This window comes from Homo sapiens, chromosome 7, assembly GCF_000001405.40.
Source record: "Homo sapiens chromosome 7, GRCh38.p14 Primary Assembly".
Lineage (NCBI taxonomy): Eukaryota > Metazoa > Chordata > Mammalia > Primates > Hominidae > Homo > Homo sapiens.
In genome coordinates, this window is record NC_000007.14 from 114,404,086 (window position 1) to 114,424,226 (window position 20,141).

Consider the following 20,141-nt stretch of genomic DNA (forward strand, 5'->3'; position numbering starts at 1 on the left):
TCATTAAATGGGTAAACAGCACAGGTAGAGGTGCAATTGGGATGAGTGGGTTGGGGGAGAGGAATAATGAGTGGAGAGAAGGGGTGTCAATATCAAATAATTATGACTTTACAATTTTGTCAAGGTTTAGTCTAGTTGACTTAGAGAAATGTCGGTTTGGCAAATGTAAATAAGAATTTGGACATATGATTGAAACAAGGAAAATTATATGCTTTAATTAGTGAAAATTCTACGTAAAAACTTATAAACGTTTGTAACGGAAAATATCCTTTTAAAAAGTACGTAAAATAAGTATTATGTAATAAGTTCTAATTGGTTACATAACACTTTATTGAGCATGATCAGATACTGGTTTTTAGGAGAAAATTTTCCCTTATATATGAAGATCTAAAGTCTACATAAACCTATTCTCCTTCAGCTTTGTATATGTTTAATCTGTGGAGTAGATGTTTTCTCAGAAATGAAGCATATAAATTGCCTCAGTGAAGAAAAGGAATGTACACATTTAAAAATCAAAATCGCCTTTTTAAAATTAAGGTTTTTTCTTTTGTATAATAGGTAAACTACTGTGAAGTGTAGTTGCCTGTTTAACTTTATATCTGCTTTGATTTTTGTCAGTTTAGTTAATTCAAATAAAATTTGTGAAGTTAACCACTTTCAAGAAAAGGCATAGGAGAACCTAATTTAACCTAGAGTGTCTCTTTTATTCTTCTGTTATTCATTTGAAGTGCCCTATCAGCTTGAACTGACCAACTTCAGTCATTTTTACCCTTTTATTTTTTTTCTCTAATGTAAACTGAAATTCCCTGCTGTTCGTGGTATTTTAGTGTTTAGCATCATTTAATGAGCAGGTATCATAAAACTTAAAAGGTCCTTTTCTGTGTATCTCTGATTAGTTAGCGAAAGAACCAAATAATTTCTCTTAATATATTTTGATGTTGGCCCATTTTACATTTAAGTGCTTTTTGATGAAGTAGAAAACAATTTTTGTTAAAGTAGGATGGATTCGATCAAGTGAATATGTGGCCCCCTATTAAGTGGTAGAATATAAATTGTTTACTGGTGTTACTATATGATAGTTTCCCTTATACATTTATGTGTGTAGGTTTCTAAATAATTTACTTTTTCTGAAAAACAGATATGTAATTTGAACAGATAATTTGGTATCAACGTCCATATACTCCTTATTATAAAAGCAGTAATTCATTCAGAAGTGAAAATTCACTTAAACGATTTCACACTGCCCTTAATTGCAGTTTCTTTTAAATTAAAATAAGGAATAAACTATGAGTAAAACAAATAGTAATATCTATTAATTACACACTTCCCATTTGACGTTCATGTATATTGGACCTGACAATTGCTAATATTTTATTATTAGTGCTAATTTTGCTTTTAGGAAGAAAAGAATATCTCTGTGAGATAAATAGCCTGCAGCCAAAATAATGAGGCTAGTAGGCAAGTAAAAGGTCAGATAATGTGTAATAAGTTACAGAGGGAATTGTGTAACGTTAACATTGGTAACAGGTAAAAGATGTAATAGTGCTGCCTACTGGTAAGAAATAGTAGTGTTTAAAGGGTAAATGAAAATGGGTGTAGTGTTAAGTGATATACATGGTTATTTAAGGTTGCTACTGTTATCTATGATGCAAACTATTTTTTCGTTAGTATTTAATAGAAAATTCACTATGAAGTCTTTGAGATTTAAATTTCTGGTATGATATTTCTGGATTTTGAAATTTTTATTTTTGGAAAATTTATATAAATAGCATATTGGCTCTCTTGCTCCCTCTTTTTAATCATGTGATACCTGTATAGTCTGTCATATGTATGGCCCTTCTTTGATAATGCTGACTTTTTTTATGGTCAGCATTTCCATAGAATTTGTAGTTGAAAAATAAGACATTGCCAGTTATGAGAAATAACTGTCAATTTTAGTAATACACAGGTGGATATTTAGCTAGTCCACTTACACCATTTATTCATAGAAAGAAGTATGATTTGTATATGCAACAAATTTTAAGATTTTAAGTCTAATTGGAAAAATGAAATTGGATTGCTTCTAAAGCACTAGTGTCAAAGTTTTAGCAAATTAAAAATCAAGTGTTCACATATGTAGGGATTACTTTCCCCATGTTCCACTAAAAATAAGTTTAGTTTTCTGTGCTAGAAAAAAACATATTTTGCTCCAGCTGTTTTGAATGTATATCAGTTAATTTTCCAGTATACTAATTTTGTTTATAGTCTTGAGAATAAGTTACAGTTATTTTAACATTAGCTCAACTCAAAGTACAGGTTTTTACAAGTTTCGTATTTGTTGTGTGATGTTTGTACAGGTGTGGCATGATGGAATTATTTAAATGTGATGATTTTATTATTCTGATTTGAATCCTTATCATATGCATTTTAGCTTTATTTTCAGATATCCATTATACATGACTTATTAAAACACCATGCACTGTAAAAATAGTTGTTACAAAGTGAGGAAACTGCTATTTCATTATGTATAACTTTCTCACTTACATAATGCAGTTTCCATTCTGAAAAAGAATTGAGTCACAACTAAATTGAGGAAAAAGTTAAAAAAGAAAGTGTTTTTGAATATCCAAAACTTGCTTTCTAGAGAGAGGAAGAGTAAAAGCCATAATGTCTCCTTCGAGGCATAAAAGCACTCTTTATATATTTATTCTTTATCCCTTTCTTTCTCCCTCAGTTCCCGCTTTACCTCCTCCCTCTCTCCCTAGCCTAAGTCTCTGTCTTTATCGCTACAGTACAGTATATTTTCCTATGGTAATTTAGACTAACATTGCCATTAAAATACAAAATTAGAAGTAAAGTTGGAAGCGTTTAAGAATTATTTTTGAGAAGTTTATGTCTGCTTGTTTTAGTAACTTGAACAGAGAGAAGAAGGGAAGGAGAGAACCAGACAGGAGGAAAATGAGAGAAATAGTAAGAAAAGGGAATAAGAGAGGAAAAGACAGAGCTGAAGGCTTGGGAAGAGGAAATAAATCAGATTACATTATATGCAAATTTTGAGTACCAAAGGAAGATAAAGTGTGAAAACTGTCTAAACGTGTGAAAAGTTGACATTTGTATTCTCGAAATCATTTTAACAGTCTGCAAAAGAAATTCATAAATAAATAGTAAATAAAATATTCCTGGAAGGTTTAGTGATGTCTAAAAGATAAATAGTTGGAATTACAATTTAGATTGCTTCACTAATATAACAATCAAACATCAGACCACCAAGAAGGTGTTTTAATAGCATAGAAAATAGCAACGCATTTCCTATACTGAAATGTAGCAAGTGGTTTTTGTGTGTCTGAAAGATTCTACTAATTTCATAGCATAAACAACAAACCTGGTGCTAACAGTAGTCTGCACTGTGGACTTTTTAAGTTGTTTACCTGAAACACTGCTGGAAATGGTTGTCAGAAAAGGGACAAGAAAAATGCTTTATGTAGTGAGAGGCACTAGATTACAAATATTAAATCAGCCTTTTGAACAATATGAATAACCATGTTAATACTTTTCCTTCAGCAGAGAACAAGAAAAAAAAGGATTACATTTATGAGCAAACAGTGCTTTTCTAAAGCATATATTCTTATCTATTTTATTTCTATGCAAATATTTGAACAGTTTAGGTTTTCCTTGACCTTTGTATTTATTTATAGCGTTTTGCAAAAAGTATGGGTGCATGCTTAGGAATTAATAACTTCAGGACATGATTGTTAAGGTCTGGTAAAGCTGTAAAAGCCCCAAGAACCAGCATTCTAGCATCATTCAGTAAAAACATGTTTTTTATTCTCTTATATATTAGTCCATGTTTCATCAAGGACAGCTTTCTCAAATGTTATTTCAGCTTAATTAAAAATCTGCTTAAAAGGATATACAAAATATTTTAATTATCAAGTGTAATGATATTTTCTTTGTTTCACTCTATAAAATGTAAAGCTGAATTTTTGATTAACATTTTATTTGTAAAATTGAACAATGTAATGATTTAAATGCTTTATTTTGAATACTTGTTTCATTTATGAGCTTATATCCTCACATTTTGGCATCAAGTTATTTTTATTTTTCTCAGTTTTTGTCATAAAAAGACATCAGAAGAAAACTAAATGTAACATAGTTTAATTAGCAGATTGGGCTACCACAGTTTAAAATTAAAACTTTAGGCCTTATTTTTTAGATCTTGATTATTTTTAAGTTTAAATTTATGTAACACATAGTTTCTCACTATAATTTTCTAAACCCTTGAAGTATAAAACATGACAATATCCAAATTCATATATTCCACATAATAGATAACTGTTCATGTTGGTGATTAAATGCTAAGTATTTATAACATAATGAATGGGCCAGGCGCAGTGGCTCACACCTGTAATTCCAATACTTTGGGAGGCCGAGGTGGGTGGATCATTTGAGGTCAGGAGTTCCAGACCAGCCTGGCCAATATGGTGAAACCCTGTCTCTACGAAAAATACAAAAATTAGCAGGGCATGGTGGTGCATGTCTGTAATCCCAGCTACTCAGGAGGCTGAGGCAGGAGAATCGCTTGAACCTGGGAGGCAGAGGTTGGAGTGAAATGAGATTGAGCCATTGCACTCCAATCGGGGAGACAGAGCTAGACTCCCTCTCAAAAACATAAATAAAAATAAATAAATAAATAAATAAATACAATGAATGTGTGCCTTATCTTTTCATATCAGCAGTGACATCATATTTTAAAGAAAGTACTTGGTACTTGTTAATTTCAAATTCAGAGTGGCAAGGAGAAAGCAAACCTTTATTTTTGAATAATTGACCAGAGTACTTGTTACTTTTTTCTTCATTGTCTTATCAGTAACCCTTCCTATCTCTTTTGCTGTAATTCTATAGAGTTCTATCATTTATCATAAACAAAATAATATACTAAATGTAAAGGTTAAGCATTTTATTTTGTTAGATAAAAGTTTTTGTTATTTGCTTATTTACCATCTATTTAGAACTTCTGGTGCTAGTATTTCTCTTACAATAGAAATTTTTGACCGTTAAATTTGGTTTAGATCAACACTTTTTAGTCTTTTTGGCAAATAATATTGCCTTAAATGGATCTAATAGCAATTAAATGATTAAACTTGTTTAATATATTAAAATTTCTCATTTGAAATCTGTAGTCTATCTTTGTTTTCTTCTTATGAGAAATCGTTAGTATAAATTGAATACCTACTTTTGCACATTCAGTGATGTTAGTTCTTATTTAACCCAGATCCAAGGATGGAGTGTATACAATGCTAAGAGCATATAACAAGAACTTAACTACAGATATGTCAAAATATCAGTTGTATGAGTGTCTTCATGCACTTCTTCATAAAACAAAATAGTTTTATTTCATCTTTAAGAAACTTTTAAAAAAGCAAGTTATTTTTAATGAAGAATAAATTCAATACATTTTCATGGACATCTTATTGAATCTTTTTCCATTTTCTTCATATGAATATTAACTGATTATTTAACTCTTCCTTATTTTCCCATACCTAATTATTAATTGGCTGTGTCATTCTGGCAATTTTTCTCTGCCTCAGTTTCTCCTTCTATAAAATGGGAAAGAAAGTACTTGCATCATAGAATTATTGTTTGATTGTTTTCCAATTGATTTTGGCTTTTCTCATTCCTATCTCTTCATACATTTTATTATATAAACTGGTCTAAATTAACTTTCCTAAAACATCTGTAATCTTATAATTCTCCAGATTTGATAACCATCTTGATACTCCCTGTTGCCCATGGAATACAATTTGGGCTTCTCCTTCTGACACCTCCAGTTTCAGACCTAACTCACCCTAGTGTATTCCATTACTCACTGACTGACTAAGCTCCAATCTATCTGAACCACATGCCTGCCTTGGGATAGAACTCATCATTATGTCTTTAGTTTTGCTTCACTTTTTCTGGAGCACTGTCAAATATATTTCCTCTTAAAAAAATCCTGCCTGTTATTTGGGGGGCAGTTCCAATACTGGGATCTTCGCCATATAGACTTCTTTGTTCTCTCAGCTATTATCTTTCCTAGTTCAGAACACACACCACTAAATGGCGTTGTACTCTCTTCACATATTCCTCATACTCTATATTCTAGGCAGGGTTAGATACATATCTGTAGTACTTGATTGAGAGTTTTCAGGGCAGAGACTAGATCGGATTTTACTATGAATTCTTCTCCTACTTTCCCATGACACCCAACAGAGTACTCTGTACGTAGAAGATATTCTGTAAATAAAGTTTATTAGGGAAACATTGTGGCAGAACAGAAAGAACACAGGCATTTGAGTCAAAAAAGACATAGATATTGTTTGACCCTGAGGAACTTAAAATATGGGAGTCCCACTGTCTTCATCTGTAAAAAAGGTAATATTATCTGCTTTTCAGGCTGGAGGGAAGGATTAGATATGATGCATGTAAACATTCATAATATGCCTGGATGTAGTAGATGCTCAATAAATATTTTCCTTTTTGTTTTATGTAACAAAACTTATTTCTTCTATTGTCTACCATAAAAAGTATGGCAGTGCATGTGAGATTGATCACTGTGTATAGATGAGGAGAGTTGACTTTCAATAAACAGTATGTGTTTCCTTGAGAAAAAATTACCACCGCCTTTGGAAAAGATGTCTTGGATATGTTATAGCTATACACAGGTAGTTTCCGAACTTGCATCTCTCAACTATTCTTTCTCTGAAATACCCCTCTCAATAATACTGTTGGAGTGTAGGCAGTAGAAAATAGTAGATGAAGGTGGCAGTAGCCAAAAAAAAAAAGAAAAGACTTGTCACTTTCATCTATTAAGTATTAGATTTATTTATTCATTTAGGCAACAAATATTTCAAGACTTTATATGTAGGTTATGCTAGTAGATAGAGTATCTAACATAAAACATTGCACTCTCAGCGAACTTAGTGTTTGGGACAGGAAGATAAAATGCATACATAAATGGCAATGGGAAAAAAGACACATGAGTAAGGTATTAAGATTGGGATTCAGTGCAACTCTGGAGCCAAACTTATGTGGTGGCCACAGAAGAACACTGTGTTTTGAAACCTCACATCGCCAAAGGTATACCATATTCTTTATCTGGCTTTCGATTTTGGATTACTGTAATGGTATGTGAATGTGCTTAGACTAATAGAAAGGAAATTGGGATTAGCCCCAAGCCTGTGTTATGTATTAAAATGCTGATTAAAATAAATAGAAATGAAATTTTTCCCACTCAAGTTTCTGACAACAAATACACCTGTAACTCAAATCAGACACACATTTGAAAAAGCACAGAATTCCCCTGTAGTTTATATTCATTTTTATGTGAGATTAAATAGAAGGTAAGCATAACGCTCAAAATATGGAGACTTGACCATTTTTGAATAAAGGAATTTCACAGTACTGCTGTAAAACAAAGCAGGCAGTTCTTCCATGTTTCTGTTTTGTTAAAATATGTATTTCATCTTTTATCTGTTTGAAATGGTGGCTGCAATTTAGTAAATGCCACCGATTTAGTTTAGATTTTATTGTTACAATGTTACAGTTTTGATAGCACTGGGCATTTTTTCCTGTTAGTTTGTTCTGCTGCTTTCAAGATTGGTATTTAATCAGTGTCCTAGCTCATTCGATGTGTCTTGCTTATAGATCCCTCTGCACTAGAGAGAAGAACCAAGTCTTCTCAAAGCTGACAGTTGTCCAGGGGATTTACAACTGATCATATCCAGTGTGGGGGAAATTTGACCTTTCATACATTCTTTTCCATAACTATTTTGGGGGAAAACAAGATTAGTTTTCATGGAGCCAGTGCATGGCACATAGTAGGTATTCAATGTGTTTTTGAAATAGATTTTAATACAGCAAAATGTTTGCTATGTTATGCCTTGAAATGTGCTTGTTTTGAACAAACTCAGGTGTCATAGTACAAAATTACCAGTGTTATAGTTCAGTGGAATTGCTAATAGGTCATCTCATGTTTAAGAAATTAAAAAATATTTTTAAAGATTTGCTATTGGAAGAAATCATAATAAGGGCATAGAAAGAAAACACCACAGTCTGGTTAGCAATCTATTTTTAAAATTACTATGATTATTTTGGAAGATATAAGTTAAAATTTTTTTACTTAGTGGCATCTTCCTGATCACGTACCTGCCATAGGGTTATAAAATGAAAGGAGTTTTACTATGTAATGTAATGTAGTCATAGTCTTTTATGTTAAGCAAAATTTGATTGTGAAAACTAATATGCAGAGTGTAACATTTTCTTTAATAACCTGGAGTTATTTCCAGGTGATATCGAAGAGTAGTGTGCTGATAGTAAAGAATGTGGGACTCTTCAGGAACAAATGACTTGACAAAATGGTTATACACTTCTTCCTAATACATTTGTGTGTGTGTGAGATTGTTTGTGTTTATTGGGAGGTATTTGCATTAGTTAATTATTTCTTTTCCTAGTTTTTGTCACCTTTATATGTGCTTAGTGAAGCTTGCTATAAATTATTTAGGCCTGAACTGAAGGTTAATGTCATTGTAACCAGCCAAACTTGACGTACCCCGATGCAGCTTTGTGCGGGAGGCACCTATGGCTTGATAGCTGTGTGAAACTGTTGCCTACAGAGATGGGCTCTTGACACTGTCTGCCAGCCTGAGGCTGTCCGCTTTGTGTCTGCTTTAATTGAAAATTAATAGTTAGGGGGTTGCTATGGAAATGATACCATTGCTTGCAGACAGCAAACCCAGCTTTTTGCAAAGAGACACTAGTGGTATTGTTTGTCCTTGTTGACCTCAGAAGTTCAAAAGCCTGGAGGAGGAAAGGAGATGCAAATATTTTACTTAAAAAAATGAATTTACATATTTATAACAATATTTTTGAATGTCAGAGGTATCAATTTTTTTAACTTTTGTTGGTAAAAATGAGTGTAAGCTTTTAAATTTTATGTTAATTGCTACTACACTGCTTTCTAGGTTGATAAGGCACTATTGCTGAAGAGCATTATGTTATCATTTTAGTGAATGTAAACAGATTTGTGTGAAAATGTTATTTGACTGATGTGATAATGGAAACTATCCTTTATTTCCTCTGGAGTACATAAAGTCATTTGTGTCATTGTATACATTATTCACAGTTTCTTTGAAATGTGGAAGCCCTGTAAACTGTGAAGAGTTGGGAGAAAAAATTTTTAAATGAACAAAGCAGACTTAAAAAATATATTCCTGATACTTGAATATTCGCAGTTGTTTAATTCCCTTAAAATATAAGTTACTATTGCTCATATAATTTCATTTGCTTTGTTCACAATCTGATAAAAAAATGTTAAAAATAAATGTTTACAGGTACTTGCCTATTGCATGAGTTTCCTGTGTTTAAATTTTGGTTTAAAAAAAAACCAATATAAACATACTTTTAATGAGTGAATTATTTAACTATAAAATGAAAAAAATTGCTAACAGAATATTAAACGGTTTTGTATCACAGAGCTAAAGAATAAGTGCTTTCAGTTCCTTTCAGGGGAGGTGGAGAAATAGTGCAGCCTCAGGGGTTGAAGGTGAAATGTGAAATTTGCTGTAATTACTTACCCAAAATGTCTGTATTAAAGGCTATTAGAAGCAGTTATTTTAAGTACTTCTTTATACATCTTTCCCTCTTCTGTTTAGTATTTAAATGTGCAACAAAAGTAGTGGCAGATGTTACTCATCTGAAGAAACTAAAACAAGATAAGTCAGTGGCAGGAGTGGTGGCCGGTTAAAGATCTCTTCGAAGTGCTTTGTTCAGTAACTGTTGTTTTGTCTCACATTAAGTTGTAGGTGGGGTGCTGTTAAAGCTTGTCCACTCACGATGGTGTTCAGCTGAGACCTGTGAGTTCAAGTTGTCTTGCCCAGAGTTAAAGGCCATAAAACTAAGACAGTGTCGTTCCTGTCTTGGGTGTAACTCCTAAAAAACTAGTCAGTTCTTGCAATAGGAGGAAAATTATTGCAAATAAACCTTTGATTTACCAGCTTCAGTAAGTTGTTCATTCTGTCTCTGTAGCTGTAGTTTTTACCTTAACAGTTTGAGGCTACCATTTCTCTTCCTTTCATGCTTATGGGGTCCACACAAACCCTGCTAGGCTACCTACAGTATAAAATCTTAAAACTCCATGTGGTGTTGTGAGCTGGTAGCAGATGGACTTTCTTTTGCATCTGCTGTGTACAGACTTGGCTTTGTACTCTTTTCCTGGGGGAGAGAAAGTCTTTCTTCTCTGCTAGTTGATTCCTGTTTTTGTGAAACAGCTAAGAAAACATCTGTGGCAGGCAGAAAAATTGACAAAGGATTGACAAACACCATTAGCTGAAAATTTTCCATTTCATTGCAACTATGCATTGTTTACTTTACTGTAAATATCTTAATACATCATCCTCTGAATATGCTGGCAGAGAAGCTGGAGAACTGTGATTTCAATTAAGGTTAGTAATTGATGGTATCTAGTGTTCAAAGGCTGAAGCTTGATTAACATCTGCTTGGACAAATTGTCATTGTGAAGTGGTTTTGATGTGCATTGAAGATTATTTCTTTCTGGCTTATCTGATGTTGTGGCTGTGAAATGCTTGTCTTGGGTTTGCTTATTTTTGTAAACTACTTCCTTTGGCTGTAAATTGCAGAGCACTGGAGCTTTACCAAAAGTGCAGTGTATAATGGTAAGCTTGTCCTAATAAGGGAAGCAAGAAGTGTATTTATCACAGACATGAAAGCTAACCGAGGACTTGAGAGACTCAAACTGGTGCTTTTGTCTCTCTCTCTCTGTCTTTCTCTCTCTCACACACACACTCACACACTCACACACATGCACACACACACATACACACACACAAAAATGAAGCACTTACTTTAGAAAGATTATGGTAAGCATGCTGGCTCAGTCTTGAACCTTTGTCACCCCTCACGTTGCACACCAAAGACATACCCTAGTGATTAAATGCTGATTTTGTGTACGATTGTCCACGGACGCCAAAACAATCACAGAGCTGCTTGATTTGTTTTAATTACCAGCACAAAATGCCATCAGTCTGGGACGTGATCGGGCAGAGGTGTACTCACAGTAGTGTAAATACTGCTGTAAATAGTTGTCTGATGGTGGCTTTGACAGTGAGCTAGCTTCTGAGTTTTCCCTTCTTTTTATACTGTTTTCTGTGCTGGCTTTTTTGAATCTTCCTAATTTTTCATCTCTTTAACAAACTCCTATGAAGTTGAAACCGGGAAGTTTGCTCTAACATTTCCAGAGAAGGTACGTTACTTTTTGCTAAGAGAATATCTGTAAGAGTTTAGAGAGGGGTGGGATTTTACGATTGCTTTACTGGTAGATTTGGCAATTGCTTTACTTTTTTTTTTTTCTGAGACTGTAGCTCATTGAAATGAACTAGAGCATTGTATCTGTTTGCGAGGGAAAAGCCGGGAGACCAGACACAGGAACTGTTTTTGATCTGTCAGTAGCGTAATGTAGATTTAAGCTATCACTAGTAAAGACAGCAAATAAAGAAGGCCTCTTTTGTATTAAAAAAAAATCTGCAAGATCTTGAGAAGAATAAAGACAGGGTTCCTGCTTTCATGGTTTGATAATAACCATGTCATCTTGCTTTTAGTAAATGCCCCAGTATGTGTCAGGGCGCAAGTTTTTGAAAAGGGAGTTTGACCACACGTTTGGGTGCCTCTCTGTGCCGTGCTGTGTAGAGCAGATGTTTATTTTGTGCTAAAGGGGAAACTCTTTTTGCTAAGCTTGTACAAACATGAAAGGAGTCAGGGCTCAGATGATCTTTGTAGTTTTATATGCATGTTCATGATTTTATTAAAAATTGGTTGGTGGGTCTTTTTCAAATCACTGATTGTGAAGAAATATATATATTTCCAGGAATACACATTGTGAATTGATGAGTAATTTTTAGAAACTGCATTATATTTCTTCAAATAGGTGTGATAGTTTAATACTCGTGTCAGTTAAAAAGGTAGCTTGGCTGGGCTATAAATTACCATTTCTGCACTTTTCATTCTGTCTGCTTCAAAAAAGCGTCTCAGAACCTGGGATCCTATTGGGCCCATCATAGGGCTACAGTAATTGCCTGATGACAACTGAAAATGATAGAATAATTGTCAAGAGAGACATTTTTAATGGGCAAGGTGATTTAAGTATGCATGAACAAGCTATGAGGGAAGATGAGCTTGTTTATGATGCAAGCCAGTATAAACACAGTCGGAGGATGACACAGATAGCTGCACTTTTCCCAGTGACATGAGCAAGTTCTTACTGCAACACCAACAGCTTTTTCCTCTGACCAGTTTGACATTCTTCACCTTCAGGTAATAACGCCTAAATTTCATCCATGTATTTTCACTTTACTGTAGCCTAAGTGACAGGTTTTTGTTTACTAGCCTCCGCGACCAAAAAAAAAAAAAAAAAAAGCACTCTATTTAATGTGTGCTTAGAATAGATCTTGAATCACTTTCACCGTCAATAGTGTGTGTAATACAAAACTTTCATTCTTATTTTCGATTGTTCCTTATCTTTGAACTGTTCTGACTTTAAATCTGATTATCTATAGTTGATTCATAATGCCCTTTTAAAGGCATATTTATTTGTCTTTACAGTCAGCCCTTCTGCTGTACAAGTTTGGAAACAAAGTATACTTGAGAATATGTGGAGAGGTTTAATGATTAGCCTGTTGGTTTTCACGGAAAGCAGAGTCCTATACCTAACAGAGATTACGGTATTGAAGGGTTACAGGTATCTGTTTAGAAATATGGTGCTCTATTAGAAAACAACTTGTTTGACTTTTTTTTTTAAACCCATGTAAAATTTCACAGAATATGCTCACGTTTTATTTTAAAGATCACTAAAATTATATGCATTGAAATACTAATAATCTTTGTAAAAGGTGGATAGATAATTTGTTTACTTTATTATTCATGAAGGCAAGTAAGGCATGGTATTCTGCTATTGTGGGCATATTATTAACATTTCATAGGGATTTGTGCTGGAATGTGGAATGCTGCTTCTTCATAATTTAATACTCCTATGCATAATGAGGTTTGTGATTAGTTGATAGAGAGAATTGGCCCAACTCCATTCTGAAAGCAGATAATTTACATTGTTCTCTAGAGTCTAGAATCTAATAGGTTCTTTAGTGCAATAAAATTAAATGCTACATGTTTTAAATTTCAGCATACAAATCCCCCTGGCAATTTTCTGTTTTTAATTTTTGCCTTTTGTTTCCTCTAAAACAATGAATTTTAAAAATTGTTTCTAGAACATATATTTACCTAGCTCTTTTATTTAGTATGTACAAGTCAATTAGCACTGTTCATTAGCAGAATTGGGTATTTGTTTTAAAGTTTAACCAATCACTTTGAAATGCTAATTATGATGTAATTTAATTGCAAGTCCTGTAATGATGATGCTGATATTATCGACATAAATGATGCAGTTAAGCAGTGGAATCTCATTTGCATATGCTTAAAGCAAGTTGAATTGGGCTGTTTCAATATCACTTTGCTTTAATTTTCCACCTCTGTTCACACCAGCCCTTTGGGTTTTTAAAGCTGTGGTTTCCTATTGATGATCAGTGCTTTCATCTTTATTTTAATGACAAAGGGGCAACAACTGACACTGGAACTGTAAAAATGAAAAGCAAATAATTACTTCTATTAAATATACGAACTATGAAACCTTTTTTGGTAATGATCATTCTTTAGAAACTGACAAATGCATGCATTTTTGGTATTTTCTTATAGCATTCTTACACTTGGAAATGATACTATGAAAGAAATACACGAACTGATATACAGTAAAGTGCTATGCCCCAAGATGTTTCTACTTTGTGAAAAGTACTTTATTGCATCTTAAAATGTTGTAGAAAGTAGACATTGCAATACATTTTTCAAAAACTTTCTGTGCATTCAGATTTTTGTGAGGGTATATTCCTTTAAAAGGAACAACAAGGCGTTATACTCATGATTGAGCTGATATTAAACTCCAGTGGTTATCTGTTTTTGTAGAGGTTTGGACTTGGGTAATTTTCTTCTGGAAAGATTATTTTTCTTCTGACCAATTTCTCCTGTTATGTCCTAATTGGTTACATAAATCTTGTCTGGTATGAATGAGAAATGTTTCTGTGTTGTCAAGTGTAATCTTCACCCTTATTTACCAATTCATTAAGATCTATTGATGCAGGACTGGTGAGAGGGAATGACAACATAAATCAGCCCTCCAACATAATGACCCTAATCAGCTAGAAATAACTGGAAACGTCATGATGAGCTATGTCTCTGTATTACTTCGGCAAGATTCTGTGGCTAGCGAGGTTTGTGTCTGCTTCGATCATTAACTTTACATCCACTCACCTTCTTCTAAAGAAGTTGTAGTGACTCTTGTTAGTATTACAAAGTTCTTTTTCTCAGACATTTGAATCTTTAGGAACCATAGAAGAAAAAAAGAAAGAGAAAAGGAAACTCACAGAACAGACGTCATGAAGGCTAATTAAAGCAGAAAAGAAACAAAGCTATTGTAGTGTTTTAAAGAACTTTCTGGTGATGATTGAAGCTGTGGGTTCAAAAAAAAAAGCTATACAGAAGGTCAATGGCTTTTTTTTATGAGAACCTGTCGATCGCAAAGGATTCAGGCGTATATCTTTCATGTTTAGTTAAACTGAGGCAAATGTTTTAAGTATACTTATAAGAATGATGTGGCTATTTCAATAAACCCAGGTGCCTCCAATCTGCCTTCTGATTCTTCTGTAAGAACTCATAATGACTTTCTTCTAAATTGGAATAACAGTGTGTTTCCTAGAGCTCTAACTGAAAGACTAGTAATTAAAATAAAACTGACAAATGATAATGTAAAATTTTTCTGTCTAAATGCATTAAATTGTAATGCTAAACACACACTCTTCTCAGTTGCTTTTATCAACTGGCTATATTTTTCCTGCATTTTGCCTGTATTATTAAATGCTAAGTTACAGAATACATCTATGCTAACTGACTGTGCATATAAAGGCAATTGTTATAGGTATATGTATGTCAAGTATATGCATGTATATACATATGTAGTATGTCAAATTTTGATAATCTATGTGTATTAAATATATACTTTATGACATACTGTTATTGGCATTTTCTATTGTTTGGCAGCAATAGTGAATTCATCCAAAATAGGTGGATTTCATTTTACATAGGACAAGAAATACTTGCAAACAGCAAGTTTAGGTTTGAAATTTGACGGAAAGGTTTATGCCATGTTTTGATATTCTGATGTGTGCTAACATTTAAAACAGTTTAAAATAGTTACATGTTGTGTGTTAATACAGGTGTTTTTGGAGTAGGTCTGCTTCATAGTCACTTGTTTTATACACACTTGATGCCAGAGTATAAATTACCCTACATCCCTCACAGTTATTTATCCTTATAGCATACTTGCTATTTAGATCAGACCATGGTATGAGTGTGACTCATGCTAACATTAGTGGAAGCTAAGTATAAAAATGTTTATTCTAATGCCTAAAATAAAGTTCAATCTCAAGAATAACGTATAAACTATTTTGAAACTATGCCGTCAAAAAACCTCTGTGACAGGTCGCTTACATACACATAGACACACACACACACACACACACACACACACACACCCCAGAAAGGACAAAAGCAGTTTCCTGACCAGATTCTAAAACTCCATTCAACACAATCATGTGGTTACATTAAAATTCTGGCCTTACCATTGCATCCACCTGCTAGGCTCATGTTGGACTTTTGCACTAAGTTGAGACCGGTGGAAGAAATTTCTCTAAGCGTACCGCCTATGCTGTGGGTCTTCCAATGGGAAGGCAAGAGGTGGGTCTGCTGAGGAGCAGTATTAAAGGGACATTTGGCACCCAAAAGATAGCCTGGAAGTAAAAAGTGCTGAAAGGGCAAGAGAATGAGGATCCGTGGAAGAGCTGTATTATGCTCAGGAAAAACAGCAAGGGATCCCAGGGAGTTGCTGTGGGCGGGAGACTGAAGATTGAAGTAAAGTAAGCCTGAGGGTTAAGGAAAGATATGTGGCAGGAAAGGTGAAAATGCCATCACAAGAGAAGTACATACTCAGAGCTCTCATTAGCCAGGGGATCAGTGAAGGCTATTGCAAGTAGTCCAGCCTTTGGGAATTTGACTGTAAGTGGACCCACTGCATGGAAGCTTGCAAGCTTGCACAACTCAATCACTAAGCTTTTTAAATAAAAAAGAGGGAGGTTTTGCCTGCTAGGCAGGTCTTTCTATGTTCTTGGAGAGCTAATTATTTCTTATTGCCTTACATTTTTACTGTTAAATTCTGTTTCCTAAACGAAAATATTCCTGGTTGCAGGATTTGACAATTTTTCTTCTTCAGGCAAAGACAAGAAAATCTGTGACAGAATATACTTGCTTACCTGGTGTCTTGTAAACTGTAGCCAGTATTTATTTTTGTATTGGCAACTAGGTAACATTCTTTAGTTTTTAAGTCCTCCTCTTACATATCTAAGACATACAGTTAGATAGGATAACACATTGCAAAAAATATTACATTTTGGCATTATAAATTAATGAAAACTCAATTTGTCAGAGGTTATAAAGTAGCAGGGTGAAATAAACTTTCCCTAAGCTTCCTATCCCCCTTGTTTTGAAAAAATAAATATTAATGCTATAAAGGATTGATTTTAAAACATTTAAATGATTTAATGAATTAAACTAACATTAAAATTTATATATTTAAAAGGAAGACTGACAATTTAGCATGTACCTTGAAAAGTAAAAATTGGTGTACATTTTTACATGTTTGAGAAATAAATATATACAGAAATTATATGAATGTGAAGACAAGATGTTAGAATATGAAGATTAATGTGAAAATATAATTTTGAAATATATTTTTGAGTAATTAGTTAACCAGAATTATCAATATAGTATTATAAAATCTCTTTCAATTATACTTCTGAAGGGGGCTTCTGAACTATAGATACAGAATCATAATGTTGCAGTAAAATACATCTACATGGCCACCATTCTTTCAAATTCTTCATTGCACTTTAAGTGAAATAGCATAGGGATTAAATACTTAATTTTAGTATTTTATAATATTTTCATAATTAAATATTTATGTTTTGTTTCCATTTTAAACTTATTTTATTTTTTATCCAGGAGCAAAATATAATATACTTAGTTGCTAAGTTAATTAATAGCTGATTGAAATGGAAGATAAGTTTTTCATTGGCTTTACTTATGTTTCCTAGATTTTGTTATTGTTGAAGATCTAACAGTATTATCTTTGCTAAAATGTAGTCATTATCATTTAAAAAATATTTTGTTAAAATGTCCTTCTACTTTGCATGTTTGAAATATTAACCTTTTTGAATGAAAGTCTGAATTTTTACTAAAGTGTTTTTTTTTCTAATTTGTGTATAGCATTTTAGGCATTTTGTTTAAATAAGTAAAAAGTAGTAACAAATACTTAATAAACAAGTTAATTTTAATTTACTTAAAATTATGTCACTTGGTATAGTAAAAATATCACTTGCTATAACAGATAACCTTCCCCAAATCATGTTTTAAAAGACATCCTGCTTCAGTTTTTAAAAATTGAAAATATTCATGTGCTGTTTCAATTTTTGTTCTTACACATTCAACTATATCCTTCATATTTGGCATTTTGATTTATTAGGCAATCTTAGCATTAAAGACTTTTAGCAAAGCAGTGCTGGATCTCAAATGCACTATGCATGGTGCCTATGATGAATTAATTCCACTAGAGCACAAGAGTTATCATTATTTAAACGCTAGTTTCTTTCAGAAGTTTTAAATCACAGTCAAGTTTTCAAAATTAGAACTTAACTAATATTTTGAGGTAAACGTATGAGGTTTCTTGTTACATATGTTAAGTTTTCTTAATATTTAACTCTTTCTTGTGTGAATCTGCATAGAAATATTTAATATTTGATATTGATAATTGATCAAAGATTAAGGAGGTATTTAAGAATATATGTTTTAAATTTGATGCCTTACTTTTCTTAAAATGTCATATTCAAAACTATTTGGATTTAATGCATATGTTTGATTAAATAAATTGGACACTGGAATGAATCAGATATTAGACATAAAGTGTCTTTCAAGGTCACTGTAATCATTTTGTTTAAGAAAAGTTGACGAAATGAATTGTTAGAAATGTTTTATATGTACTGTTATTTGTTCTTAGTTTTCTGGGAAGTCATTTTTTTTTCATCCATTTGTTTTGATTAAATAGTAAGACTCCTCCACCAAAATGAGAGTTAATATTAAGGCACTAAGATTATAAGACAGACTGTTTATGTAGAATGCAGAGTGTGGTTCAAAGTAGAGGCTATTTTTATCTTCTTTATAATCCCTGACATACATAGACAGATTGATTGATCTATCTTTATAAACATATATAGATACACATATTCATGTGCACACATATACACATGGGAATGTGGAGTGGAAAAGAGATAGGGAGCATAAGAAACAGGGAAGGAGAAGAGATGAGAAAGAAGACCATAGAGAAAGTTGAGTAAGCAACAAGGACCAGTAGTGTCCCTGGTGGTGGCTGAGATAACACAATTAACTATGCTTGTCCAGGTCAAGTTTCAAACTTTTAAACATTGCTGCGAATACGGAATAGGATACATGCAGGTTTCTGTTATCACTCTGGCATGTAACTATCTCACATGATACAGTTTTATACCAATAGAACATATAACTCTACGAGGAAGAAATAAAACCAACAAGTCTAGCATTCAGTACTACCCTATCATAAAGTAAGGAGGCCTAATTGAGCTATGTCTTTATATCCTGCTATTTGTACAAATAAAAGACTACATCTTGATGCAAAATAAACACAAAAGCACTGTTGTGACTATAACAGGGAGTCATATACTAATTTATATAATAAGTGGTTGTGCACGCTTTATTCAAGATTATGGCTGCAAGAAATGGCATGAATTGCTGGGTGTGTTTAATGCTGGATTATAGCAATTTGAAACATGTCAAACACATGGCTAATGCCTCATGCTTCACTCATTCTTGCGTAAACCTGCATAGCCACCATCCATTATACCCTTGGTAACAACACAATTCTGCAAGTAAATATTGTTACACTAAGTAACCTTTCAATTCAAGTTGTTTAGGAAGAGAAAATGCAATCTTGTGCAGTCAGTTCCAGTGTCAGTTTAATGTTTCAAAAGGGAAGTGGTGTAGAGAATAAGTATCTGTACAGTGACTTGCTTAAAAAAGAAGAAAGAAAAAGGAAAGGAAGGAAAACTTAATGCAGGGGAGAAAAGTCTAACTGTATCGTTTGAGTGTAAGATCTGAAGAGTTATTTTCTGATGTGGCTGAAAAGTTGTGTACGATGAAAGACTTAAGGGTTTAACTTACAGTTCAGACAAACATTAAAACAGGGACTCCCAGATTCATCTTTCCCTTTAATGATCTGGAATTTATTTTCACTGATTTTTGTAAAATGTTTGTGGTGGGATTGATAAGAATGAATAATTTAGCTTGGTATGTTTCGGATCATAAGCACATCCACTCTGAAAGAATATGCTGAATTTATTATTATTTAAAATATACTTAAAAGGTAAACAGCACTTCACATTGTGCTGGAAATATTTCCTATATTGGGAAATAAGTGGAAGTGTTACCAAGAGAAACTTAGTAAATGCTAGAAATAATCTGCATTGTCCTTGAAAAATTCCTCCTTTATAGTGAACATACTCCAAGCTTTTTTAAGTGAAATGTACAGTATAATCATCTAATTACACAATCACCCTTCTTTTTTCATATAAGTGTTGTATCAGATACTCCTCTTTTGTAGAGCAAAAAGTACTATCACTGTTATAGTTTTCTTAAGCATTATTTTACTAACTCTTAGATGATTGAACTTAAAATGTAAATAACAGTTTATACTGTAGGGTTTTATAAAGTTAAAAACTCCACAAGGGCTAAGAATAAAATCCTTTAGTTAAAAGGAATTATAAGTTATTTAGGTCTTTCTTCGTAATTGTAATAAAGATTTAGACACATGCCTCTTTGCTTGTTGATTATTCTTAATTATTTGATGGCCTTGATTATGACACAGTAATACA

The 20,141-nt window shown here is 33.0% G+C and overlaps 1 protein-coding gene across 6 annotated transcripts in view, besides 1 other annotated feature; it reads left to right on the forward strand.

Moving 5' to 3' along the window:
• The window catches only part of FOXP2 (forkhead box P2), a 607,439-nt gene that overhangs the window by 317,759 nt on the left and 269,539 nt on the right, over window positions 1-20,141 (forward strand). For 5 of the 6 annotated variants that reach the window (NR_033767.2, NM_148898.4, NM_148900.4 and 2 more), the window contains exon 1: window positions 10,730-11,275. The exons of the other annotated variant lie outside the window; for it this stretch is intronic. The gene's annotated coding sequence lies outside the window, so the exon portion shown is untranslated. Of the gene's footprint in view, window positions 1-10,729; window positions 11,276-20,141 lie in introns of those variants that run through there. 6 annotated transcript variants of the gene reach the window in all.
• Window positions 12,707-14,507: an enhancer, noted in NCBI's record as "VISTA enhancer hs218". NCBI's record gives its function as "enhancer in: forebrain[5/7]" and the evidence as "EXISTENCE:transgenic organism evidence [ECO:0001131][PMID:17130149]".